General features: G+C 52.5%; 1 protein-coding gene and 1 pseudogene across 2 annotated transcripts, besides 4 other annotated features; both read left to right on the top strand.

Annotated features, from left to right (window-relative positions):
• Positions 45-25,401, top strand: COQ8B (coenzyme Q8B). 2 transcript variants are annotated; one of them, NM_024876.4, is made up of 15 exons: positions 45-344; positions 2,296-2,400; positions 2,534-2,653; positions 2,798-2,864; positions 6,795-6,872; positions 11,484-11,606; positions 11,750-11,835; positions 13,076-13,216; positions 13,309-13,390; positions 14,238-14,331; positions 16,480-16,621; positions 16,757-16,864; positions 20,877-20,942; positions 23,894-23,980; positions 24,558-25,401. In NM_024876.4, exons 2-15 carry the CDS (start codon positions 2,299-2,301, stop codon positions 24,894-24,896), a joined length of 1,635 nt encoding a protein of 544 aa, NP_079152.3. In that variant the 5' UTR covers positions 45-344; positions 2,296-2,298; the 3' UTR covers positions 24,897-25,401. The 2 variants fall into 2 exon arrangements, with proteins under 2 accessions (NP_079152.3, NP_001136027.1); NM_001142555.3 differs by lacking the exons at positions 45-344; positions 11,484-11,606 and adding an exon at positions 1,812-1,878.
• Positions 499-578: an enhancer, noted in NCBI's record as "active region_14663". NCBI's record gives its function as "activates an Ori minimal core promoter by ATAC-STARR-seq in GM12878 lymphoblastoid cells {active_cell/tissue: GM12878}" and the evidence as "EXISTENCE:reporter gene assay evidence [ECO:0000049][PMID:35858748]".
• Positions 1,249-1,298: a silencer, noted in NCBI's record as "silent region_10644". NCBI's record gives its function as "represses an Ori minimal core promoter by ATAC-STARR-seq in GM12878 lymphoblastoid cells {active_cell/tissue: GM12878}" and the evidence as "EXISTENCE:reporter gene assay evidence [ECO:0000049][PMID:35858748]".
• On the top strand, positions 8,768-8,876 carry RNU6-195P (RNA, U6 small nuclear 195, pseudogene; annotated as a pseudogene).
• Positions 25,174-26,111: an enhancer, noted in NCBI's record as "H3K27ac-H3K4me1 hESC enhancer chr19:41196725-41197662 (GRCh37/hg19 assembly coordinates)". NCBI's record gives its function as "activates a minimal SCP1, AML or CMV promoter by ChIP-STARR-seq in naive H9 embryonic stem cells {active_cell/tissue: H9 hESC(naive)}" and the evidence as "EXISTENCE:reporter gene assay evidence [ECO:0000049][PMID:30033119]".
• Positions 25,588-25,827: a silencer, noted in NCBI's record as "silent region_10643". NCBI's record gives its function as "represses an Ori minimal core promoter by ATAC-STARR-seq in GM12878 lymphoblastoid cells {active_cell/tissue: GM12878}" and the evidence as "EXISTENCE:reporter gene assay evidence [ECO:0000049][PMID:35858748]".

Here is a 26,141-nt window from a genome sequence, read left to right as displayed (position 1 = left end):
ACGGAGCCTTGTCCGACTCCGCCTCCCAAGGGGAGGGGGTTTGCCTCTGAGCATCCGAAGCGCGGCCAGGTATGCATCTAGGGCACCGGGGTCCTGGTGGCGCGCCAGTGGGCCCCCTCCCTCCACCCCTGTGACTAAACCACCCTCCCTACACGGTTGAATGACAAGTTCAACCTTCCCTAAAACCCCCGGTGACGAGTCCAGCCGCGCGCCCATTCTTCACGCAGGGGCGGGACGGACTTTCAAAGACTTGGAGTTCCCACGGGTGTGGGTTCGAGACCTTCCTCTGCCAGTTCCCAGCTCCGCTACCCTGAGCAAATGACTTACGCTCCATTGGATTTTCCGTAAGAAATCTCTGTCATGTATAGAGTACTTGTTCTGTATCAGACCCTGACACGATTTCAGTTCATTCTCCAAGGCTGAACAATAGGGATGCCAGGGCTCCATTTTACACGTGAGAACAGAGGCTCAGAGATCTGCCGGCCTCTACCCTTTGCTTGCAGCTACGGGGCTATCTGACATGATCTCATGTATGTGAAGCATGTGGCCCCGGGCCTGGCACTGTCAGTTGTAGCCCAGTAGGATTATTTATTGTCCTAGGTGATTTTGATATATTTTGCCCCCAAGGCTGAGCTGCCACCCAGCTCCTGAGTCAGCCGTTCACCTCTGAAGGGGGAGAGGAGGTGGTTTGTCTTGAAATTGAGTCAACTGGGGGAGACATTGGGCACAGGTCCAAGGCTCTAAAATGAGTCACCTTTTCACAGACCAATGAGAGAAATCGAAGGCAGGAGCCCACCTAGTACCTCATACAGGTTGGGAAGGAGAAGTCCAGAGAGGGATGAGGGCTTTTCTGAGGTCACACAGTACGGGAATAGAGACAAAGAGGCCTGATTCCCGACAAGAGGGGTTGGGGCAGCGGGGTTCTGTGGGGGAAGCATCGGCATCCCTCCCTCTCCCAGTGGTGGGAAAGATGCCCCAACCAGATGCCTCTATTCCAGACTGTGAGAAGTGGGTGAGTCAGCCTGTTGTGGGGAGAGCAGGCTTTCCAACGCGCGCGCGCACACACACACACACACACACACACAGAGAAAGAAAGATAGGATGGGAGGTGGTTTTCTGGGATGCCAAGGTTCCTGACTCAGCACTGGGAATCTTGGCTGAGTGTGTTCTGGGAAATGTCAGGCCTACAGGAAGCAGAGGGCTCCCAGTCGCACCATTCCGCAGGTGGGCGGGGAGCGGAGAGAACAGGGTGTGTGAGGGAACAGAGACTCAGTGTGCAAGTGGGGGGGAGGGTATGTACACGAGAGAGTTGAAGGCGTGAGCGGGAAACAGTTGGCAAGCAAGGCAAGGGATTTATATGCACAAGGAAGGAGGTTGGGTGCCAGAATGTGGGTGTTTGTGCAAAGTGGAGGGGCTCCATGTGCAAGGGAAATGTTTGCTGGGAAGAATGTGTATTCAAAGGAATTGTGTTGAGCCTGCCAGGGGTAAAAATAAGAAGGGGGGTTGGCAAGATATTCGTGCAGAAGAGAGGCGTCAGGTTTGTAAGGGAGACTTTGCAAGAAAGTGTAGGGAACAGAAGGGTCTGTCGCGTACAAGGCACTTTGAGGTGAGTGGAAGGGCAGACAGGGCACGCTTGCGCTCCCGCGATGCCTCAGCAATCCCCCCAGATGGGCCCCCGATGCCCACCTTAATTCCAGGCTCCATCGCTAGGGCCTCTCTCTGGCCCCTTCCCCCGCGCACAGATGGAGAAACTCCGTGCCAGTCAGCGAGTTGCTGCCGCGCCATTGGTTGGCTGGCCGAAGGGGGCGGGCATACAGAGGCTCCCGGAAGCACAGGAGGGCCCCAGCAGGTTGCGGACTCGGAGGCTGAGAGCAGTGGGTGCTTAGCAACGGGGGGAGGTGCTCAGTAACGGGGTGGGGATCGGGCGGGGGGACACCGGAGGAATTGCGGGTGCCTACAGGGCCAACAGAGGGGAAGGCGGTGCATAGCAACGAGGGGGGTTTCAGAGAAGTGGAGAGGTAGCCCCTGAGGAACTGTGGGTGTCTAGTAACGGGGGCGGACCCTAGCAACGGCGAGGGTTGGGAGAGGGGGGAAAGTGGGTTTTGGGAGGCCTGCAGGAAGAGCTAAGGGTTCCTAGCAACCAGGGGAGAACCAGGAGAAACTGTGGGAATCTATTAATAGTGGAGGAAGTATTTAGTGGGTGGGAATGAGAGAGGGTGGACACAGAGGAACATGGGGGCCTGGCCAAGAAGCCAGGCAACTCCCACCTGAATAATCCCTCCTCTTCTCCTCCAGGCAATGTGGCTGAAGGTGGGGGGCCTACTTCGGGGGACCGGTGGACAGCTGGGCCAGACTGTTGGTTGGCCTTGTGGGGCCCTGGGGCCTGGGCCCCACCGCTGGGTAAGAGGCTAGGGAGCAGGTCCCCAAGGGGAAGAGGCTGAGGGAGACTTCAGAGGGTAAAAGGACAGGAGGGGTCCAGAAGGGCCAGGTGATCCCATGTCCTCCCCTCCTTATCAAAGTATATCTCTTGCAGGGACCATGTGGAGGTTCTTGGGCCCAAAAGTTTTACCAGGATGGGCCTGGGAGAGGCCTGGGTGAGGAGGACATTCGCAGGGCACGGGAGGCCCGTCCCAGGAAGACACCCCGGCCCCAGGTATCATTACCCCCACCCACCCAGCAACACCCCACGAATACTGCTGGCCCCCTGAGCTTGGGGAAGGGTGTGGTGGCAGAGTGGCTGCACTCTCTGGCCACGATGCCCACTTTCCCACCCTCAGACCTTGTCCCCATTTCCCAGCTGAGTGACCGCTCTCGAGAACGCAAGGTGCCTGCCTCCCGCATCAGCCGCTTGGCCAACTTTGGGGGTAGGTGTGACTTTGGGGGATCTTGGTGTGACCTCAATTAGAAAGGGCAACATTTACAGATTGAAGCAAGGGAGAGGATGAATCAGAGACAGGAAAGAGAGAGAGACAAAAAAAGAGAGACAAAGGCAAGGGCCTGCAAGGCCAAGAGAAATCAAGAGGAACATAAATGATAATTTTTTTTTTTTTTTTTGAGACAGAGTCTCACTTTGTCACCCAGGCTGGAGTGCAGTGGCGCGATCACTGCAGCCTCAAACTTCTGGGCTCAAGCAATTCTCTCGCCTCAGCCTCCTGAGTAGCTGGGACCACAGTTGTGCACCATCCGCCCGGGTAATTTTTTTTTTTTTTTCCTTTGAGACAGAGTCTCGCTCTGTTGCCCAGGCTGGAGTGCAGTGGCACCGTCTTGGCTCATTGCAACCTCTGCCTCCTACATTCAAGCAATTCTCCTGCCACAGCCTCCTGAGTAGCTGGGATTACAGGTGCCTGCCACTATGCCTGGCTATTTTTTTTTTTTTTTTTTTGAGACGGAGTATCCCTCTGTCACCCAGGCTGGAGTGCAGTGGCGCCATCTTGGCTCACTGCAACCTCCACCTCCCGGGTTCAAGCCGATTCTCCTGCCTCACACTCCCAAGTAGCTGGGATTACAGGCATGCATCCACCACACCCGGCTAATTTTTGTATTTTTAGTAGAGACGGGGTTTCACCATGTTTGTCAGGCAGTGGTAGAGCTTTGGCACCAGGCTGCCCAGGGTTCAAGGGATGACTCTGCTATGTCCTCGCTTTGTGATCCGCCTGCCTCAGCCTTCCCAAGTGCTGGGATTACAGGCGTGAGCCACCACACCTGGCCGCCTGGCTAATTTTTGTACTTTTAGTAGAGACAGAATTTCACCATGTTGGCCAGGCTGGTCTTGAACTCCTGACCTCAAGTGATCCACCCACTTCGGCCTCCCAAAGTGTTGGGATTTACAGATGTGAGCCACGGTGCCCGGGAAGCCACTGTGCCTGGCCTGGGTAATTTAAAAAATATTTTTTTGTAGAGATAGGGTCTCCCTATGTTGCTCAAGTTGGTCTCAAGCGATCCTCCTGCCTCGGCCTCCCGAAGTGCTGGGGTTCTAGGCATGAGCCACTGCTCCTGGCCATAATAACATTTACTGAGAACCTGTAATGTGCAGTGTCCCATATACACACATGCTGCACTGAATCAATGAGTGTTCTATTCCGTACATGAGGACATTGAGGCTAACAAAGGGGAGGTCACTTGACTTTGGGTTACACAGCCGGATGTCGTGCAAGTCACATGAAATAATTTAGTGGGTTGCAACCAGCATTTAAAAAGAAGAATAGGACAGAAAATATGCATGCACCTGTAGAGCAAGGGAAAGTCTTGTTTCGTGAAACATATACCTTGGTCTGCACTGGTTATAACGTAAATGTCTTCTTATTGCTGATCATGGTTCAAGTTTTGTTTTTGTTTTTGTTTTTGAGATGGAGTCTTGCTCTGTCACCCAGACTGGAGTGCAGTGGCATGATCTCAGCTCACTGCAACCTCCACCTCCCAGGTTCAAGCAATTCTCCTGCCTCAGCCTCCTGAGTAGCGGGGGTTACAGATGCACGCCACCACGTCCAACTATTTTTTGTTGTTTTTTTTTTTTTTTTTCTTAGGGAGACAGGGTTTCACCATGTTGGCCAGGATGGTCTCGATCTCCTGACCTCATGATCCGCCTGCCTTGGCCTCCTAAAGTGCCAGGATTACAGACGTGAGCCACTGTGCCTGACCGCTAATTTCTGTATTTTTAGTAGAGATGGGGTTTCACCATGTTGGTCAAGCTGATCTCGAACTCCTCACCTCGTGATCCACCTGCCTCAGCCTCCCAAAGTGCTGGGATTATAGGCGTGAGCTACCATGCCCCGCCTGGTTCAAGTTTTAAAAATATAGATTCACTTGCTTGTACCCAGGAGGTAGAGATTGCAGTGAACCAAGATCGCACCATTGCACTCCAGCCTGGGCAGCAAGAGTGAAACTCTGTCTCAAAAAAAAAAAATCTATATATATATACATAGATAGATTCACAGTCTGCAGAGGCAGTCAAAGGCACTGGTTAGAGCTTTGGCACCAGGCTGCCCAGGGATTAAGGGATGACTCTGCTGTGTCCTCGCTTTGTGACGTGACTCTGGGCAAATTACTTCACTTCTCTGAACCTCAATTTCCTTTTCTGTAAAATGGAAGTTTTCTGTAAAATACATTTTATGAAGGTGGAGACCTCATGTAAGGACAAAAATTAGTAAGTGCACAGAAGGCACTGGGAACAGCCCCTGACATGTAGAAAGGACACAGAAAATGCCAGATATGGTAATTGACAGAGATGGTGACAACAAAAGAAGGAGAGAGACCCGAGACGTCTTTAGGGACAAGAGGAGAGGTAGCAGAGGAAATCAGAGATGGAGAGATAACATCAAAGGGAGGAAAAGAGAGAAAGAGATCTAGATAGATAGGACAAATGGGGAGAAGGCAAGAGATGCAGAAATAACTGGCTTAGAAAGGGAGAGGTCAAGCCTGGTAGCCCACACCTGTAATCCCAGCACTTTGGGAGGCCGAGGCAGGAGGATCACGTGAGTTCTGGAGTTCCAGACCAGCCTGGGCAACATAGTGAGACCCTGTCTCAATAAAAAATTAGGTGAGCGTGGTGGTATGCACGTGTGGTCTCAGCTACTCAGGAGGCTGAGGGAAGAGGATCACTTGAGCTCAGGAATTTGAGGCTGCAGTGAGTTATGATGGTGCCATTGCACTCCAGCCTGGGCGACAGAGTGAGACCCTGTCTCTAAAAAGAAAAAGAGATAAGCATAAAGAAGAGGAGGTGTGGACAGAGAAAGAAGAGTCACCAGAAGACAGAGGGACCTAGGACAATTGTTTCGGGGCCTTCTTTTTTTTTTTTTTTTTGAGACGGAGTTTCTCTCTTGTTTCCCAGGCTGGAGTGCAATGGTGTGATCTCGGCTCACCGCAACCTCTGTCTCCCAGGTTCAAGCGATTCTCCTGCCTCAGCCTCTTGAGTAGCTGGGATTACAGGCATGCACCACCACGCCCGGCTGATTTTGTATTTTTAGTAGAGACAGGGTTTCTCCACGTTGGCCAGGCTGGTCTCGACCTCCTGACTTCAGATGATCTGCCCACCTCGGCCTCCCAAAGTGCTGGGATCATAGGCATGAGCCACTGTGCCCGGCCGAGGGGCCTTCTTAACCTTGATCGCACATTAGAATTATCTGAGGTGCTTTTTAACAAAACACAAATTCCCATGTCTCAGGCCAATTTAATCAGAATTTGGGGAGTGGAGTCTGGGCATTATATTTACCGGAGCTCCTCTGGTAACTGGAATGTGCAGCCAGGGCTGAGAACTGCTGGGAGGGAGACAGAGACATGGAGAAAGGGTTAAAGAAAGAGGAAGCTGCACCTTAAAGGGAGCCCCATGCAGGAACAGAGTCAGAGACTGATTTGGAAACAGAGATACAAAGAATTGGGAGACAAGACTGAGTGCGGTGTCTCATGCCTATAATCCCAGCACTTTGGGAGGCCGAGGCGGGAGGATCACCTGAGGTCAGGAGTTCGAGACCAGCCTGGCCAACACGGTGAAACCCCGTCTCTACTAAAAATACAAAAAAAATTTAGCCAGGCGTGGTGGGCGCGTGCCTGTAATCCCAGCTACTCGGGAGGCTGAGGCAGGAGAATCGCTTGAACCCGGGAGGTGGAGGTTGCAGTGAACCAAGATTGTGCCACCACACTCCAGCCTGGGCAACAGAGCGAGACTCCATCTCAAACAAAAGAAAAAATAAAAAGAGTTGGGAGACAAGCATTCTTGGAGAAAAACTGAGAAAGGAGAGTGGGTTAGGCTGGGGGCACCCCAGGCAAACGGGCACTCATGTTCTTCTCTTGCACTCCAGGACTGGCTGTGGGCTTGGGGCTAGGAGTACTGGCCGAGATGGCTAAGAAGTCCATGCCAGGAGGTCGTCTGCAGTCAGGTGAGTGAGCCACACTGCCTGGGTTCAGATCCTGGCTTTGCTGTGTGACCTGGGGCAAGTGACTTCACCCCTCTGAGCTCCAGTTTCCTCATGCGGAAGATGGAGGTGGTGATAATTTACCCACCTCTTAGAGTCATTGTGAAGTGCTTTGAACAGGCCTAAACCACTATCAGGGTCATGATTAAGAGAAGCATATTAGATTTTTTTTTTTTAATTTGAGATGGAGTCTCACTCTGTCGCTCAGGCTGGAGTACAATGGCGCAGTCTTGGCTCACTGCAACCTCCACCTCCCAGGTTTAAGCAATTCTCCTGCCTCAGCCTCCCAAGTAGCTGGGATTATAGGCACATGCCACCACGCTTGGTTAATTTTTGTATTTTTAGTAGAGACGGTTTCACCATGTTGGCCAGGCTGGTCTTCAACTCCTGACCTCATGATCCACCCGCCTTGGCCTCCCAAAGTGCTGGGATTATAGCATGAGCCACTGTGCCCAGCCACATATTAGATTATCTGAGAAAACATTTAAGCCATTGGGAGTTCCTAACTTGGAGCAGGAGCAGAAAGCTGAAAATAGAAGTGCCAGCGAGGGTCTGTGTACATCAGAGATGGAATTAGATGTGTAGCATTTGCCGTTATAAAAAATAAAATAAAAAGTTGAGGGTAGGTGGAGGTTCCCTCAACAAGTCAATGTCTTGAAACAAGTGGGGGTGGATATTCCAGATTAAAAACAGATGAAAGAGACATTATTTGACAAATGGAGCATCTGAACCATGATTGCATATCAGTTTGGAAAAAACAGCCATGAAAGACTTTTTGGAGACAAATGGAAAATCTGAATATGGACTGCATGGCAGATGTTAAGGAATTGGTGTTAATTTTCTTACATGTGATTATGGTACTGTGATTGTGTAGGGGAATATCCTTATTCTTAGCAAAGCTTAAGTGCAACTACATGCAAGTGGGTCAGCAAAAAATAATAATAGTAAGTGTGTGGGTACACGCACAGATAAAGCAGACGAAGCAGAATGGTACCATGTTGAATCGAGGTGGAGGGTGTGCGGGTGTGCAGGTGTTCACGATATTATGCATGCAACTTTTCTGTTTGGATTTTTTTCTGTCTTTTTTTTTTTGGAGACAGGGTCTTGCTGTGTCACCCAGGCTGGAATGCAATGGTACGATCATGGCTCACTGCAGCCTTGACTTCCCCAGGCTCAGGTGATCCTCCCACCTCAGCCTCCTGCATAGCTGGGATTATAGACACGTGCCACCACGCCTGGCTAATTTTTTGTATTTTTTGTAGAGAGAAGGTTTTGCCATGTTGCCCAGGCCGGTCTGGAACTCCTAGCCTCAAGTGATCCTCCCTGCTCAGCCTCCCAAAGTGCTGGGATTACAGGCATGAGCCACCACACCCAGCCTGGATATTTTTTTCAAAATAAAAAGTTGAGGGTAGGTGGAGGATTAGGGTTTGGGTATGACCAGCCTGAGTCTACACCCCACTCTGCCACTTCCATGCTATGTGACCCAGGGATAGGTGCTGCACCTCTTTGAGTCTCTTGCTTTCTCACCTTGAAAATTAAAGGATTGATAATTCTTACTTCCAGGTGTGATTGTGGGCATTCAGCCAGAGAATCCACAAAGACACTTAGGATTCTGCCTGGAACAGCTCAATAATGAGCTCAATAACATTTTATTTTATTTTAAATTTTATTTTAAGAGATAGAGTCTTGCTGTCACCCAGGCTAGAGTGCAGTGGTGAGTCATGGCTCACTGCAGCTTTGAACTTCTGGGCTCAAGAGATCCTCTTACCCTGGCCTCCTAAAGTGCTGGGATTACAGCTGTGAGCCACCACAACTGGCCTTCAAAATTAATAAAGGCTTAAGAATTGCTTTGTTGTGCTGTGCTTGCTTCAGCATCACATATAAATAAAAATTGGAATGAGACAGAGAAAATTAGCACGGCCTCTGTGCAAAGATGACACATAAATTCATAAAGTGTTCATATTAAAAAAAGAAAAATAAATGTTTTGCCAAAGCTGAAATGTAATTTGCATATAAACCCAGGTACACATACCTGTAAGTGTATGGCTTGGTGCGTTTTCACAAAGTACATTTGTCCGTACCCAGAGTAAGAAACCCTAGAATAGCTGCTCTCAAACTTCTTGGTCTCAGGATCCCTGCACACCTTTAAAACTGATGAATGGATGAATAAAATGTGATAGGCATACAATGGAATATTATCCAGCCATAAAAAGGAATGAAGGGCTGACACATGCTGCAATGTAGATGAATCTTGAAAACACTAAGTGAGGCCGGTTGCGGTGGCTCACGCCTGTAATCCCAGCACTTTGGCAGGCCGAGGCAGGTGGATCACCTGAGGTGAGGAGTTCAAGACCAGCCTGTCCAATATGGCGAAATCCTGATTCTACTAAAAATACAAAAAATTAGCTGGATGTGGTGGTGGGTGCCTGTAACCCCAGCTACTTGGGTGGGGGGTAAGGCAGGAGAATTGCTTGAACCGGGGAGGCGGAGGTTGCAGTGAACCAAGATCATGCCATTGTACTCCAGCCTTGGAGACAGAGCGAGACACTGTTTCAAAAAAAAAAAACACTAAGTAAAAGCAACCACACACTGAAAAACCACATATTGAATGATTCCATTAATATGAAATGTACAAAATAGGAAAATCTGTAGGGACATAAAGTAGATTAGTGGTTGTCAAGGCCTGGGGAGATTGGGGGAAATGAAGAGTGACTGCTAATGGGTATAGGGTTTCTTTTTTTTTTTTCTTTTTTTGAGACAAGGTCTCACTCTGTCACCCAGGCTGGAGTGCGGTGGCGGGATCACGGCTCACTGTAACCTCTACCTCCTGGGTCCAAGTGATCTTCCTGCCTCAGCCTCCTGAGTAGCTGGGACTATAGGCATGCACCACCATGCCCAGCTAATTTTTGTATTTTTTGTAGAAACAGGGTTTTACCATATTGCCCAGGCTGGTCTCAAACTCATGAACTCAAGTGATCCCGCCCCGACGTCCCAAAGTGCTGGGATTACAGGCATGAGCCAGCACTCCCAGCCAGGTTTCTTTTTTGCGTGGTGTAACTGTCCTAAAATTGATTCTGGTGATGCTTGCACAACTCTGTGAATATACTAATAATCATTGAATTATATAACTTAAATGGTGAATTATAACAGTATGTGAATTATTTCTCAATAAAACTGTTAGAATGAGCCTCCAAAGAGCTTATTTATGTGGATTATAGTTATCAATGTCTACCATATTAGAAATTAAAACTGAGAAATTTTTAGGCCAGGTGCGGTGGCTTACGCCTGTAATCCCAACACTTTGGGAAGCTGGGGCGGGAGGATCCCTTGAGGTCAGGAATTTGAGACCAGTCTGAGTGACATAGCGAGGCCCCATTTTTACAGAAAGTAAAAATATTAGCCAAGCATGGTGGTGCATACCTGTAGTCCCAGCTACTCAGGAGGTTAAGGCAGGAGGATCACTTGGGCCCAGGAGGTTGCAGTGAGCCATGATTGTGCCGCTGCACTCCAGCCTGGGTGATAGAGTGAGACACTGTCTCAAAAACACAACAAAAATACAGAGATATTTTTAAAACACAAGAGTACACACGTACACATTCCATCAGCTGTCAGTCTGATGGTGTCCTCACATGTCCTGGAGCCTCTGGAGAACTCCAGTGAATGTTCTTAGACGCATGAGAGCAGAAAGGGGAAAATAACATCTTAATGTTACGATAAAAATAGTTTGATCTCTCAGACCCCTCTGAATGGTCTCAGGGACCCTCAGGGGTCCCTGGCCCACATTTCGAGAATCGTTGCCCTTCTCATGTCCCCACCTGGTCACTCCCCTCACCAAGGGTGACCTCTGTCTTGGCTCCTGGACCCTGGATTTGTTTGGCCTTGTTTTGCTCTTTATATCAGTGTAACTGGGTGATGATTTCATGCACCCGGCTGCTTTCACTCAGCATTACATTTTTGAGACCCACCTGGGCTGTTGTGTGTAGTGATAGCTCATCTATTCAATACTGTAGTAGTTACTCTTTGACTCTCCTGCAATTTGTTTTAACTTATGTTTATTTTTCTTTCTTTCTTTTCTTTTTTTTTTTTTTTTCCCGAGACAGGGTATTGCTTGGTTGCCCAGGCTGGAGTGCAATGGTGCGATCACAGTTCATTGCAGCCTCAACCTCCAGGGCTCAAGCAATCCTCCTGCCTCAGCCTCCTGAGTAGCTGGGACTACAGGCACATGCCACCATACACCCAGCTAATTAGAGACAGGGTCTTGCTTTGTTATCCAGGCTGGTCTGGAACTCCTTGACTCAAGCCATCCTCCTGCATTGACCTCCCAGTGTTGGGATTATAGGCGCGAGCCAACAAGCCTGGCCTCCGTATTTCGTTTTAGCCATTCCTGTTGGTGTGCAGATGATATATATTTTTTTTAATAGAGAAAGGATGTCACTGTTGCCCAGACTGGTCTCAGACTCCTGTGTTCATCCCGCCTGGGTCTCCCAAAGTGCTGGGATTACAGGCGTGGGCCGCCGGGCCTGGCCGCAGTGATGATATTTGTGGTTATAATTCTAATGGTTGTTCTCTCCCCAGAGGGTGGTTCTGGGCTGGACTCCAGCCCCTTCCTGTCGGAGGCCAATGCCGAGCGGATTGTGCAGACCTTATGTACAGTTCGAGGGGCCGCCCTCAAGGTTGGCCAGATGCTCAGCATCCAGGGTACAGCATGACCCTCGACTCCTGACCCCTGACCTCCCTTCTACCCCAGCCCTACCCACCAACAGGCCCCAACTTCAGATACTCACACGGGGTCCCTCCTCACCTCTTCGCTTACTTCCCCCCTGGTTCCACTGTCTCCCAAGACAACAGCTTCATCAGCCCTCAGCTGCAGCACATCTTTGAGCGGGTCCGCCAGAGCGCCGACTTCATGCCCCGCTGGCAGATGCTGGTGAGTGCCCAGTGGGGGAGGGCGGTGAGGGAGGCAGGCTCCATCTCCTCTGACCTGCCTGACCTTCCTGGCTTCACTGCCCCACTCCCTGCCTCTGAGCCTCACTTTCCCCATCTGTAAAATGGGAATCACCAGAGTACACACCTCCTAGCATTGCTGTGGTGATTAAAACAGGGAACAGCAGCCTGACCTCTCTGTGCTTCAGTTCCCTTCCCTGGGAAATGGCGATAGTGACAGCCACACCCACATCATAGGGTCACATAAATCAGTTTACACTGAGCACTGAGAACGGCCCCTGATTCACTGTGAGCAACATGCAGGTGTTAGCTGTGATTATTACTGTTTTTTTAATTAAAGGAGATCGTGTCTGTAATAGGTTGGCACGGCGCCTGGCACCAAGTAAGTGCCCAGGACATGAGCTGTTCTAATAACTGGGTAAGGCATGGAATCCAGGATTCCGCCACCCACCTGCTCTCCCATCCCTGTTCTGCTTATTCGCCATGCGGCCCCAGGCAGGTACTGCCTCTCTCTGGGCCACTCTGAATAGGACCTGGCCCACAGGAAGCCCATTGTAAATTTTAGCTCTTCTTGATCACAGTAACTGTGAGTTAATAATAACATATAAGAGCATAATAAAGGATGGTTGGCCACGTGTAATGGCTCATGCCTGTAATCCCAGCACTTTGGGAGGCTGCGGTGGGAGGATCATTTGAGCTCAGGACTTCCAGACCACCCTGGGCAACATAGTGAGACCTTGTCTCTACTAAACATAATAACAGTAATAATTAGCTGGGCACAGTGGCACATATCTGTAGTCCCAGCTATTCAGGAGGCAGGAGGATGGCTTGAGCTCGGGAGGTTGATGCTGCAGTGAGCCGTGAGAGTGCCACTACACTCCAGCCTGGGCTACAGAACAAGACCCTGTCTCAAAAAAAAAAAAAAAAAAAGGATTGTTATGAGTCTTAACTATAAATAATAGCAATCCCCACAACAGCCCAGGGAGTCCAGGTTCAGGGGACACAGGCTAGGCTGAGCCTCACAGTCTGCCAGTGCCTGGCTAGTCACTTGCACAAGGGAGCTCTCTCTGAGCCTCAGTTTCCTCATCTGCAAAGGGGGTGGCAGCCAAGAGCTTAGCCCAGGGCCCTGCATGTGGTGAGTGCTGGGGTTATCAACACGTAAAGCACTCAGCCTGGGGAATGAACTCTGCCACAATGATGATGGCTGTGACCACTCCCCGCAGAGAGTTCTTGAAGAGGAGCTCGGCAGGGACTGGCAGGCCAAGGTGGCCTCCTTGGAGGAGGTGCCCTTTGCCGCTGCCTCAATTGGGCAGGTGCACCAGGGCCTGCTGAGGGACGGGACGGAGGTGGCCGTGAAGATCCAGGTGAGAGGGGAGGCTGGGCAGGGTAGGGGCGGGCACCCTGCTAGCCCAGAGAAGTGACTCCCACCTTCTCTCCCTCCCTTCTCCCTTTACAGTACCCCGGCATAGCCCAGAGCATTCAGAGCGATGTCCAGAACCTGCTGGCGGTACTCAAGATGAGCGCGGCCCTGCCCGCGGGTGAGGCGCCCACCCACTCCTCTGCTGACCTCCCAAAGGGGCTATGCCCAGAGAGAGAAAGCAGGAGGGGGAGCCCAGAGGAGAGCACGGGCAGGGTGTGCTGGCGTTGTGAGCGGGAGTGTCAGAGACAGAAAGGACACCAAGGCGGGGAGAGCCCAGGGAGCATGAGCAGGTGTGGGAAAAGCCTTATGGATTTTAACAGAGCCTTAGAGAGACGGGAGCCCAGGGCCAAGATACAGCAGCAGACTCTCAGAGGGTGTGCATGCAGGGAGCGGGATTGTAGGTGCGGCAGAGCAGAAAAGGACAGTCCTGGGGATGGCACGTGAGGAGGCGCCTAGAGAAAGGAGGGTGGGTTGTGTTTGTGTAAGAGACGGAGAGGGAGAGGGAAAGCCAGGCCCAGAAGTGAGATTCAGATGCAGTGAGCAACGTGAGAGTCAGTATGAAAAGGAGACAGAATAGAGGCAGGCGTGACTCTGAAAGAGCTGCCAGGGACTGGGGTGCAGGCATGTGCAAGAGACAGAGCCCAGAAAAGGCTTCGGAAGACCCCGGGGAACCCTGTGGTGCTATGAAGGACGAGGGAAATGTGTAGACAGATGATACGATGCAGGTCAGAGGCCTGGAGCAGGAGCTGCAAGGGGCAGCGGGGGAGACAGGAGAGGGACAGATGCAGGTCAGAGGCAGGAGCAGGAGCTGCGTGGGAGACAGGAGAGGGACAGATGTGGGTCACAGGCCTAGAGTAGGAGCTGTGAGGGACAGCGCGGGAGACAGGAGAGAGAGGGTTGGCAGGAGAAGGCATCCACCAGTGGGCGCTCGGGGCCCTTCCCTGGCTGACACACCTCCCCCACAGGCCTGTTTGCCGAGCAGAGCCTGCAGGCCTTGCAGCAGGAGCTGGCTTGGGAGTGTGACTACCGTCGTGAGGCGGCTTGTGCCCAGAATTTCAGGTGAGCTGAGTGCCCTGAGCTTCCCTCCTTCCCTCCCTCCCAGGCTGGGTGGGAAGTAGCTGCCCCCTCAGCTTCTGGCAGCTGGAGCTGTGGGGTAGGGCAAACTCTCTCTTTCTTTCAATCATTGTTCATCCATCCTTCCACTCATCCATCACTTCGCTTACCCCCTTTGTCCTCTGTGAGCTTGGGCAGGTCACTTCCCAAGCGGCAGTCTTCTCCTGTGTCAGATGGGCCGCATATCCACTGTGGTCCGACACAGGCACTTAATTAATTACACAATGACACACTCTTACCTCTGCTGGACTGACGGAGAGCAAGGAGCCCACAGCACTGGGAGGTAGAGAGAGTGGGCTCCACAGCATCCCTTCTGCACTGCAGGTTGTGGGAGAAGGTGGTAGAAGCATTTTGAGAACAGGTTGGCATCATCACATAAGCCCTTATATTCAAGAACTCTGCAAGCCAACGATTGCCCTCCCTGCTGAACACTCTAGGGACCCTTTTGCCAGTATCCATCATCAGACTGTTCTAGAACGCTTGTCTGCAACAGCCCCAAACTGGAAACAACCCATATCCATCAAGTTTATCCAGCAGGGTGGACAAATAAGCAACGGTATATTCATCTGTGGAATATTACGTAGCAGTGAAAATGCATGAACTATGGCTACGTGGAACAATGTGGTTATATCTTGGAAGCATCCTGATGTGTAGCAATTAATGGCACCTCAGTGGGGTCCTCCACAGTGTGGCTCACACATTTATTGACAGCCTAAAACGTGCCAAGCTCTGTAGACAGAGAGTGAAAGCTCAGTAGAAGGCAGTGGTTAGAGGCACACACCCTAGACTCAGATGCGGGATGAAATCCTGGGTCAGCCCTTAACAGGTTACGTGGCCTGCATCCATACAATCTGTACAGTGGCCTCCAGAGAGCATCCCCTCACTGTGGAGTGAGGATGAAAGGGGAGTGTGCCGATTAAATGCCCCACATGGCTCCGGTTCATGAGGAGCAGTTCAAACATCAGAGATTTTTATCAACAAGGACAAAAATACAAACCCCAAAGGAGGAGCTCAAGGAAGAGAGTGTGAAGTGGGGTGATGGGCCAGAGACCCCCCCGTCCCCCACAGGATTCCCGGGTGCCCTTAGGATAAAACCCCACACCACCCTCCTGTTCTCCCTCACTCTCCTCCAGCCATCCCACGGATCCTCAACCAGAGACCTTGCTCATATTCTCTGCCTCCCAAATCTTACATAGACATACTTCTTTTATTTTTTTGAGACAGGGTCTCGCTCTGTTTTCCAGGCTGGAATACAGTGGTGAGATCACAGCTCACTCCAGCCTCGACCTCCCAGGCTCAAGTGATTTTCCCACCTCAGCCTCCTGAGTAGCTGGGAACATAGGCGCAGGCCACCACGCCCAGCTAATTTTTGTAGTTTTTCATAAAGACGAGGTTTCACCATGTTGCCCAGGCTGGTCTTGAACTCCTGGGCTCAAGCGATTCTCCCACCTCGGTGTCTCAAACTGCTGGGATTACAGGTGTAAGCCACTGCACCCAGCCAACACACTTACCTCAATCTATAATCCGTCTGTTTGTGAGAGTGTGGTCTCGGGGTTGGGGGCCAGGTCCAGGGACTGGTTCATTCACTGCTCTGTCCCCAGCATCATTTAGCACAAGGATGGACACAGAAGATTCTTTCCCGCTATTTACCTGTGTTCAGAGTAGTGATTGCAAGGACTGACCCATGGGTATCACTATAGACTTCACAGATTTTGATACCAGTGACTACTTTTGGGATGAATGAATTAATAAATTAATGAAAAAGTAATGCAAAGGCTGAAATACACCTGAACTCATCCTTCTGGGGCAACCAGAAGTCATAGAAGGGTTTCGGGTAGGGAAGTGGTGACTGGGTTTCCAGCAGCACCCAGTTGAGAGGCAGGTGCAGAGTAGGCACCTTGGAGATACTTGTTAAATCTCAGTCCAGCCAGGTGTTGGTCATCACCCAGGGCAGACAGCAGCAAGAGATGGGCAGGAGGGAGGGCATGGCGCAGACTGTTCATGGAGGACTTCTGAGAGCACAAGGAGGAGGTCTCAAGCTGGGTCACAAGCCTGAAGCACGAAGTCCCCTTCCTCCCTTTCCTTCTGCCCCAGGCAGCTGCTGGCAAATGACCCCTTCTTCCGGGTCCCAGCCGTGGTTAAGGAGCTGTGCACGACACGGGTGCTGGGCATGGAGCTGGCTGGAGGGGTCCCCCTGGACCAGTGCCAGGGCCTAAGCCAGGACCTGCGGAACCAGGTATGCTGTCTGGTGGCACAGTGGGAAGGGCATGGCCCCAGGGCGGGTGGGCCAGGCTCATGGTCTCTCTCCAGGCCAGCAGTGGCACCACAAGGGAGATCACACTGAGATGCCTGTTAATTCTCCCCACCCCAGATTTGCTTCCAGCTCCTGACGCTGTGTCTGCGGGAGCTGTTTGAGTTCCGATTCATGCAGACTGACCCCAACTGGGCCAACTTCCTGTATGATGCCTCCAGCCACCAGGTTGGTTCCTAGTGATGTGTGTCTGGGTACATTTGCTGTTGTAACAAATATTCCTTGATATTTCGGTAGCTCAACAAAATAGCAGTTGATTACCCCCACAATAGGCAGGGGTGGCCCTTTTCCAAGTGGGATTCAGGGACCCAGCTCCTTCCCTTTTGTGGTTTTGCCATCCCTGGGGCCTTGCAACGCTCTGCTTCCCAAGGAAAGGGTAAGAGAGGTTGAGGGTAGCCCCCTGCCTAACTGCTTTGGCCAGAAGTGGAAAAAGTAATGCCCAGGCTAAATACACTAAGCTCATCCTGGGGCAATGGACATAGCACTTCCGTTGCCATTCCATCAGTGAGAGCTAGTGACATAGCCTGCCTAGGTGCAAGGCATGCTGGAAAATGGAGTCCCTGGCTAGGCAGTGGTTCCTGGTGGCAATGTGACAGCACAGAGGGGAAGTACAGCTTTTGGAAGGCAGTTAGCCATCACTACCACACTCGTCATCCATACAGAACACACCATCACCTGCCCTTGCCTCTTGACAGCAATAAAAAGACATCCCTGACCCTTGCCTTCTCAGAGTGCCCAGTCCAGTGGGGGGACCTGGCACCACACAGCGATGACCTAGAGTGGTTCGTACCAACCACAATGAGGAGCACAGGCCAGATGGGTCAGGACCGGGATGGGGGAGGCACAGGCAGAGGGGTGGGGGCTGGAGTTGGGGGAGGCACAGGAAGTTATGGGATCCCAGGGAAAGTGCCTGACTCACTGTGGGGTGAGCAGGGATTAAGGGAGGCTTCTTAAAGCAAGTGCCATTAAAGCTGAGGCCACTGAGAGGCTGAGGTGGGAGGATGGCTTGAGCCCAGGAGGTCGAGGCTGCAGCGAACCAAGATCATGCCACTGCACTCCAACCTGGGTGACAGGGCGAGACTCTGTCTCACCAAAGAAAAAAAAAAAAAGCTGAGACCAGAGGCTGAGCATGGTGGCTCATGCCTGTAATTCCAGCACTTTGGGATGCTGAGGCAGGAGGATCCCTTGAGGCCAGGAATTTAAAACCAGCCTGGGCTCTATTTAAAAAAAAAAAAAAGGCTGAGATGGGACAGGGGAAAAGGAGACAACCATCCAGAGAGCAGAGTGTTCCCAGCAGAGGGCAGGGGGTGTACAAAGACCTGTAGTGAAGGTTTGGACCTGCAGACTTGAGTGTTGGTGGATACATCATTACCTTTATCAGGGGTTGCCAACTGTTTTCCAAAGTGGTCTATCCCCATTTTGTCCCCAGAGGGGTCTTTCTAAAGCACAAATCTGGTCAAGATATCCCTCCTACAGCTTCACAGCCCCCTCAGAATCAAGTCTGAACCCTTTGCTGAGCATCCTGTGGCCCCACGGAGTCTCCAGCCCTAGTCCCTTGCCTCTTCTTTCTCCACAATGTGCATACACCCTGTGTCCCCTCCTAGGTTCATACCCCAGGGATATGTTTACCCAACTCCAAGTGATAGGAGTCCTGACATCAATTTATTGGTTTCCAACAGGACTTTTTTTTTTTTTTGAGACAGAGTTTTGCTCTTGTTGCCCAGGCTGGAGTGCAATGGCACGATCTCAGCTCACTGAAGCCTCTGCCTCTGGGGTTCGAGAAATTCTCCCACCTCAGCCTCCCAAGTAGCTGGGATTACAGGTGCCCGCCACCACACCTGGCTAATTTTTTGTATCTTTAGTAGAGATGAGGTTTCACCATTTTGGCCAGGCTAGTCTTGAACTCCTGACCTCATGATCCACCAGCACTTTTTTTTTTTTTATGGAATAGATGATGTCAGTATGTCACAGATGGGAGGGATCCATATTATTTTGGGACACTTTTCTTTTTTTTCCCCGAGATGAAGTCTCGCTCTTGTCACCCAGGCTGGAGTGCAATGGTGTGATCTCGGCTCACTGCACCCTCCGCCTCCCAGGTTCAAGCAATTCTCCTGCCTCAGCCTCCCAAGTAGCTGGGATTACAGGTGCCTGCCACCACGCCCAGCTAATTTTTGTATTTTTAGTAGAGATGGGGTTTCACCATGTTGGCCAGGCTGGTCTCGAACTCCTGACCTCAGGTGATCCGCCTGCCTTGGCCTCCCGAAGTGCTGGGATTACAGCCATGAGCCATTGCGCCTGGCCTTGGGACACTTTTGTTTGACGTTTTTGTGTGCATTTGCATGAACGCCCAGTAGAAACTCTCTCTCTCTCTCTCTCTCTCTCTATATATATATATATATATATATATATATAATTTTATTTATTTGTTTGTTTAGAGATAGAGTTTTGCTCTTGTTGAGAATGGAGGCTGGAGTGCAGTGGCACAATCTCGACTCACTGCAACCTCCACCTCCTGGGTTCAAGTGATTCTCCTGCCTCAGCCTCCCAACTAGCTGGGACTACAGGCGTGCGCCACCACACCCAGCTAATTTTGTATTTTTAGTATAGGTGGGGTTTCACCATGTTGGCCAGTCTGATCTTGAACTCCTGACCTCAGGTGATCCGCCCCCCTCAGCCTCCCAAAATGCTGGGATTACAGGTGTGAGCCATCACGCCCAGCCACCAGTAGAAACAATTTCTTACTGTGGGTTGTGGTCAGTTCAAACTCTACTGCCCTAGAAACATTCTTACAGGTGTTCATTGAGCACAAAAATTAGAAACAGGCCAGGTGAGATGACTCACTAATGTAATCTCTGCACTTTGGGAGGCTGAGGTGGGAGGATCACTGGAGCCCAGTAGTTCGAGACCAGTCTGGGCAACGTAGTGAAACCCTATCTCTACAAAAAATGTTTCAAACTTAGCCAGGTGTGGTGGGGTGCACCTGTGGTCCCAGCTACCCAGGAGGCTGAGGCGGGAGGATCACTTGAGCGTGGGAGTTTGAGGCTGTAGTAAGCCATGGTCGTGCCACTGCACTCCAGCCTGGGCAACAGATCAAGACCCTGTCTCAAAAAAAAAAAAAAATGTCAGAACAGAGTTTATAACTAATAAACATATTTAAAAAGAAGGAAAAAAAATCAGAAACAACCACAGTATTCCTCAGCCAGATAAATGCACTGTGATAGATTCACGCAACGAAGTCCTTACACAGCAGTGTGAAATGAGTGACTGAGCTGGAGCGACACATGGCAACAGGGATAAATCGCAAAACCATGCTGGGCAAAAAGCACAAGTTGCAGGAGAACGACAGTAAATACCACTTCTGTGAAGTTTGAAAATATGCACACCATTACTCTAGATTGTTTACAGCTGTACACATACATAGAAAATATAGAAATGCATAAATGAGAATTTCAGGAAATAATTTAATAATGATTGTAGGAAAGAGGTGACCCTGGGGACCTGGGGGAGGTGTGATCAGGGCGGGATACACAGGAGGCTCCACGTGGATGGGGAGTATTTTTTTTTTTTTTTGAGACGGAGTCTCACTCTGTTGCCCAGGCTGGAGTACAATAGCACAATCTCGGCTCACTGCAACCTCCACCTCCCAGGTTCAAGCCATTCTCCTGCCTCAGCCTCCCAAGTAGCTGGGATTACAGGCACGCACCACCGCACCTGGCTAATTTTTGTATTTTTAGTAGAGACGGGATTTCACCATGATGGCCAGGCTGGTCTCAAACTCCTGACCTCATGATCCACCCACCTTGGCCTCCCAAAGTGCTAGGGTTAGAGGTGTGAGCCACCACGTGTGGCCGGATGGGGAGTATTTTATATTTTAGGCTGGGTGGCAGGATTTGTGAGTATTCATTTTACTTTTCTATATCTTTTATTATTCTCTGGATTTTTTTTCTGGGTCTAAAATTTGTTATTGCATAAACAATTAGAACTAAAAGAAAAAAAAGCCTTCAGCTAGGGGGTCGGTTGGAAACGGGAGATGAGGCCAGGAGCCCAGTGAGGCAGCCAGGCAGGGACTCTGGCAGGAGCAGGCAGGGTCATGGGGAGGGAGACAGATCCTGGCTGCCCCAATAGACAGTGAGGGTGTGAATGGGATCCCAGCATTCCTTTCACCATTCCTTGCTTCCAGGTGACCCTGCTGGACTTTGGTGCAAGCCGGGAGTTTGGGACAGAGTTCACAGACCATTACATCGAGGTGAGTCTCCCCCAGACCCCAGGGCCTCTGAAAGGCTGAGGCTCAAGCCATATACTGAGGCAGAGGAGTAAGAAGGCGAAATGCAGTTTCTGGAATTAAGAAATAATAAATAATAGTAATACTCGTAGCAACTAGCACACACCAAGCACTTAATATGTCAGGCTCCATCTTTAGTGCTTACGTATAGGAACCGATATAAACCACACAGCAACACAATGCGAAAAGGACCGTTTTTAGGCCCGTTTTAGGCCAGATGAAGTAACTGGGTCCTGGAGGGGTTAAGTCACGTGCCCAAGATCACAGCAGACTTGGGATTCAAATTCAGGTGGTCCAGGTCCAGAGCCCAAGCTTCCAACCACTGCCCAGCTCCCTCCTAAGAGAAAGGCCCACAGTGACCATCTTGTCACCTCTCCAGACCCCATGCTGTCCAGGGCCCTGGTGTCCAGCCCAGGTGTGTGTCCCTGGGGGCAACTCTGTCTACAGGAGGTGTTTCCTCACGTACTTGGCTCGTCTCTCCCACCCACTGGGGTCAGTTTGTCTTAGAGGCTGCAGAGAATACCATTTCATTCGTTGTTGAGATTGGACATTTGCCCTGGGTCCTCTAATCATGTAGCCATCAATCTAAACGTTTTCTTTTCCTTTTTTTTCTTTTCTTTTTTTTTTTTTTAATTGAGACAGAGTCTTGCTCTGTCGCCCAGGCTGGAGTGCAGTGGCTCGATCTTGGCTCACCACAACCTCCACCTCCTGGGTTCAAGCGATTCTCCTGCCTCAGCTTCTCGAGTAGCTGGGATTACAGGCATGTGCCACCACGCCCGGCTAATTTTTGTATTTTTAGTAGAGATGGGGTTTCACCATGTTGCCCAGGCTGGTCTCGAACTGCTGACCTCAGGTGATCCTCCTGCCTTGGCCTCCCAAAGTGCTGGGATTACAGGCATGAGCCCTCCTGCCCAGCCAATCTAAATGTTTTCTGACCCCTCCTCTGTGCCCAGCTCTATTCTAGGCAAAGCTGGAGACACAGCAGTGACCTGGGCCCAGCCTAGGCCCCTCCTCACAGAACTCATAGTCAGTGAGGCGACAGTGAGGACCTAGCATGGACAGGGCTGGGATGGGGGAAGCGCAGGGCACTGTGAGCCCAGAGGAGGAGCCTGAGCCAGCCTGGGGAGCCAAGGAGGGCTTCCCGGAGGAGGGAGTGTCAGCATTGAGACCTGAGGGATGAGGGGGGCCAACTGGGAAAAGGCTCGGAGGGTATTTCAGATAGACAACATGTGCCAAGACGAGGCAGTGATAAGGGACAGTCCCATTAGAGCAGCATTTCTCAGACTTGGATGTGCATGTGAAGCCTGGTGATCCTGTGCAAGTGCAGATTCTGGTCTGGAGGTGGGTGTAAGATGCTATGTTCTGACACGCACCCATGTGAGGCCAGGGCTACCCGTATGGGGACCACACTGGTAGTAGTAAGGCCCTAGAGCACCCAAAGGAAGCTCCCATTCTGAGTGGGAGGGCAGGTCGGGGGGCAGCACAGTGACGAGGCTGCAGCAAATCACTGCGGATTTTAGAGGCTGCGCTCTACAGCTCGTACTGTATCCAGGTGCCCTGCGGAGCCGTGGAAAAGATTTGAGCAGGGAAGGGATGCAGTCAGAATTTGAAAACTCCCTCTGAATAAGAAGTGGTCTCTAAGCCTGGGGGTGGGAGCTCAGGGCAGCTGTGGAGAGGGGCAGAGGGGTGGCTGGGAGATGCCCAGCTGGCAGTCCATGGGAGCAGACGGGCTAGAAGTTGGGGACAGAGGTGTCTAGGGGTCTGGTCTGGGGACTGGTGGGGCCACCTCTGAGACAGGAACAGGAAGAGGAGGTGATAACCCCTTACACACAGGCCCCTTGGGGCCCTCTCTGCCGGCCACTGAGGCACAAAGCTGAGACCCTTCTTCTCCCCACTGACACCCTCCCCTCCCACCCAGGCCTGCAGCCTTTGCCACTTTATAAAAGCCCTGGCTTCTGAGGACCACAGGCCTGACAGATGGCCAGACATGCTCGGGCAGGGGGAGCAGAGAGGGAATGGAATTAATCCCGAATCCCCCTCCTCACAAAAAAGGGCAACCCAGTAGTGAGTGGTGTGACCCGGTTCCACTCCCTACTCCGGGTCTGCTTCCCCTTCTGTGAAATAGGGACCCCCGTGCCCACCTCTTAATAATGGTAGATTATAGTATTTACGGTGCTTCCTGCATGAGACACAGCGCCAGGCAGGCCACAGGCATCACCTTCTTTATCCTCCCAACAGCCCCATGAGGAAGGCACTTTTGGCATCCCCACTTCACAGATGAGAAAGTGGAGGCCCAACAGGCCGGCAGGTGGCAGAGCTGGGACGGAACCCTAGCCAGCTGGCCCCAGCTGGGCATCTCTCCATGCCCACAACTCCTGCCCTGTGTGTGTGAGCTCATGGCTGGAGAGCTGCTCTGCTCCACACGCTCATTTGCTAAAGCAAGGTTCACCCAGGGCCTCCTCAGCACCAGACCCTGTGCCCCGTGCGACTAAACCCAACTGGGATCCTTGCTCTCACGGGGCTCAAAGTCCAGTGTGGGAGACAGAGAGATGGCCCCTGGCAACTTTGGATGCAGTTCTGGGTCACGCTCATACCCGTCCAGTTGAGTGTTTGGACTCACCAGCAGCCCTGACACTTGTTTCTTGCACTGTTTCACTGTGGCAGTTCCCGGGCAGGCCCCACATTGCCCTCTAGGTGGGCAGGATCCCTAACCACCTCCACTCCCAGGCTCTGGAAGAGTCTTTAAGGGAGTCACAGACAGGCAAAGTTGGGAGCAGGAAGCTTCCAGGTGAGGGAGGGCCCAGGCAGATGAGAATGGAGGTGGGTACATGGGAGGCCCAGGCTTCCAGCTCCTCTTCTCCAGAGCCCCCTTGAGCCCCGGCCTTTGTCCCTCTAACTCCCACCCGTCTCCCCAGGTGGTGAAGGCTGCAGCTGATGGAGACAGAGACTGTGTCCTGCAGAAGTCCAGGGACCTCAAATTCCTCACAGGCTTTGAAACCAAGGTGGGGAGACACTGGGGGAGAAAGGGGCTGGTGTCTGTTGGTGGGGTGCAGTGGGGGGCTGCTTATCTCCACTGAGGAACTCGAGTAGGTGATGGGGCATGTCGATACCCGGGGACTGGGGGACTCTAGGAGGGGCTTGTCTCCACTAGGGAGAATGGAGGCTGTGTGTCTATACCTGGGGAGTGGGTGACTCTAGGAGGGATGCTTATCCATGCTGGGGGCTTTGGGGAGGAGTGGGGGGAGGTGGCTGCCTGACTTCTCAGGAACCCTGGGAACATGGGCACCGTGGATCTGTTCAGGAGGGGCGAAGGCCGCTTCTCTGTTGTAGAGAGAGTAGAGGGCTACTTGTCTGTTGGAGGCTCTGCAGGGAAGTAAGGGGTGCTTACTCGGGGAATAGGCAGCTGCTTGTCTAGTCCAGGCTCTGGAAGGAGTGGAAGCTGCTCACTCTTGGGGGAGTCGGGGCTTGTGTTGATGGTGGAGACTGGAGGGAGTGGAGGCTACACGTTGTTTCTGGGTTATGCAGAGGGCTCTATGTCCACACTGGCTGCCTTTGCTCTCCCCCCACCCCCACTCCCAGGCATTCTCCGACGCCCACGTGGAGGCAGTGATGATCCTGGGGGAGCCTTTCGCCACCCAGGGCCCTTATGACTTTGGGTCGGGGGAAACGGCCCGCCGCATACAGGACCTCATCCCGGTGCTGCTGCGGCACCGGCTGTGTCCCCCACCCGAGGAGACCTATGCCCTGCACCGCAAGCTGGCAGGGGCTTTCCTGGCCTGTGCCCACCTCCGAGCCCACATCGCCTGCAGGGACCTCTTCCAGGACACCTACCACCGCTACTGGGCCAGTCGCCAGCCAGACGCAGCCACTGCCGGCAGCCTCCCCACCAAAGGGGACTCCTGGGTGGATCCCTCATGACAGCCTCCATGGGGGATTCAGTCCCCAGAGCAGGCCGTACCCTGCTGTAGTGCCTCTTATCCCTTCCCCGTCTGCCCTGGGTCAGAGGAGCCCCCTTGGGCTTCCCAGTCTTGCCTGGCTCTCCTCCTTGGCCCAGGAGCTCAGGATCCCTGGGGCTGGGGAACTCCCAACTTCGTGCCCTAGATCCTGCACCTCCCCACTCGAAAGTGGGTATCCGAAAACTAAGCCAGGGAAGCGGTTAACTTATCTTTGCCAACATTTGAGGGAGCCTTGGGCCGCTGCATGTCGTTATGCAGATCAGACTCATCAGGGGGAGCCCTCACCTCTGCCTCAAGCCTCCCGTGGAAGGCGAGATGGTCCTGGAGGCAGTCCTCACCTCTGCCTCCCTCGCTCCTCCAACAGCTGCCTTCTCCCGGGTTCCAGCCTCTCAGTGTGTTGGAGAGGTAGGGGTGCGGGGTGGGGGGGAGCTGAATCTTCAATCGGAATAAAAGCAGCCCTCCCCTTCCCCCAGCTCTTTTCTCTGCGCTAGGGTTGGGGGGAGAGGGGGAGGAGCTCGCCAGCGGCCTCCAGGTGCAGATGGCCAGCCCCCCTGCACCCCCTTGTCTGAAAGCCTCAGCCCTGCCTGTGCCATCTGTTGCCGGGAACCTCCTTCTCGCCTTCCCCACCCCCCCCCACGTGCTGACCACCTGCTCTAAGGGCTGTGGCAGCTGAGGCCTCCCACACACACAGTGCCTCTTGGCTGCGGGCTCCCTCCCCTCACTCCTGGCAACCTCGCCTTTACTAATGGGCTCTAATGTCCCTGCCAGCTGCTTTGCCAAACCCACAGGATTGGCGTAGGGGGCGGCGGGGGCGCCGTAGCGGCCAGAACCGCGCCCTGGTCCCACCCCGGCGCCCCCGTTCCCAAAGCCGAACCGATCGCGCATCAGGACGCCTTGGTCTGTTCACACCCCCTCCCCTTCCTTGCAAAAAGTGCCTCGTCACCGCTCCTGCCCGCCCCCGCCGGGCTGGGGAACCATGGGGTTAGCGGGAAGATTTGGGGGTGTGGGGCGGCAAGGCGCCTCTAGAAGCAACTCTTTCGGACGCGGAGCTGGAGGGGATCTGAGGTCAGGTGTCACGGAGGGAAAGGGAGCCCAGGCCAGGACGGACCGGGGGAAAGGACTCGGCGATGTTCATAGGCATGCTCAGCTCGGGACTGGCCAATGGGCGTGGCGGGGCGGTGGCCGCGCCGGGGAAGGCGGGATGGTG

This window comes from Homo sapiens, chromosome 19 (assembly GCF_000001405.40).
Source record: "Homo sapiens chromosome 19, GRCh38.p14 Primary Assembly".
Taxonomy (NCBI): Eukaryota; Metazoa; Chordata; class Mammalia; order Primates; family Hominidae; genus Homo; species Homo sapiens.
This window is presented reverse-complemented; position numbering and strand designations above follow the sequence as displayed.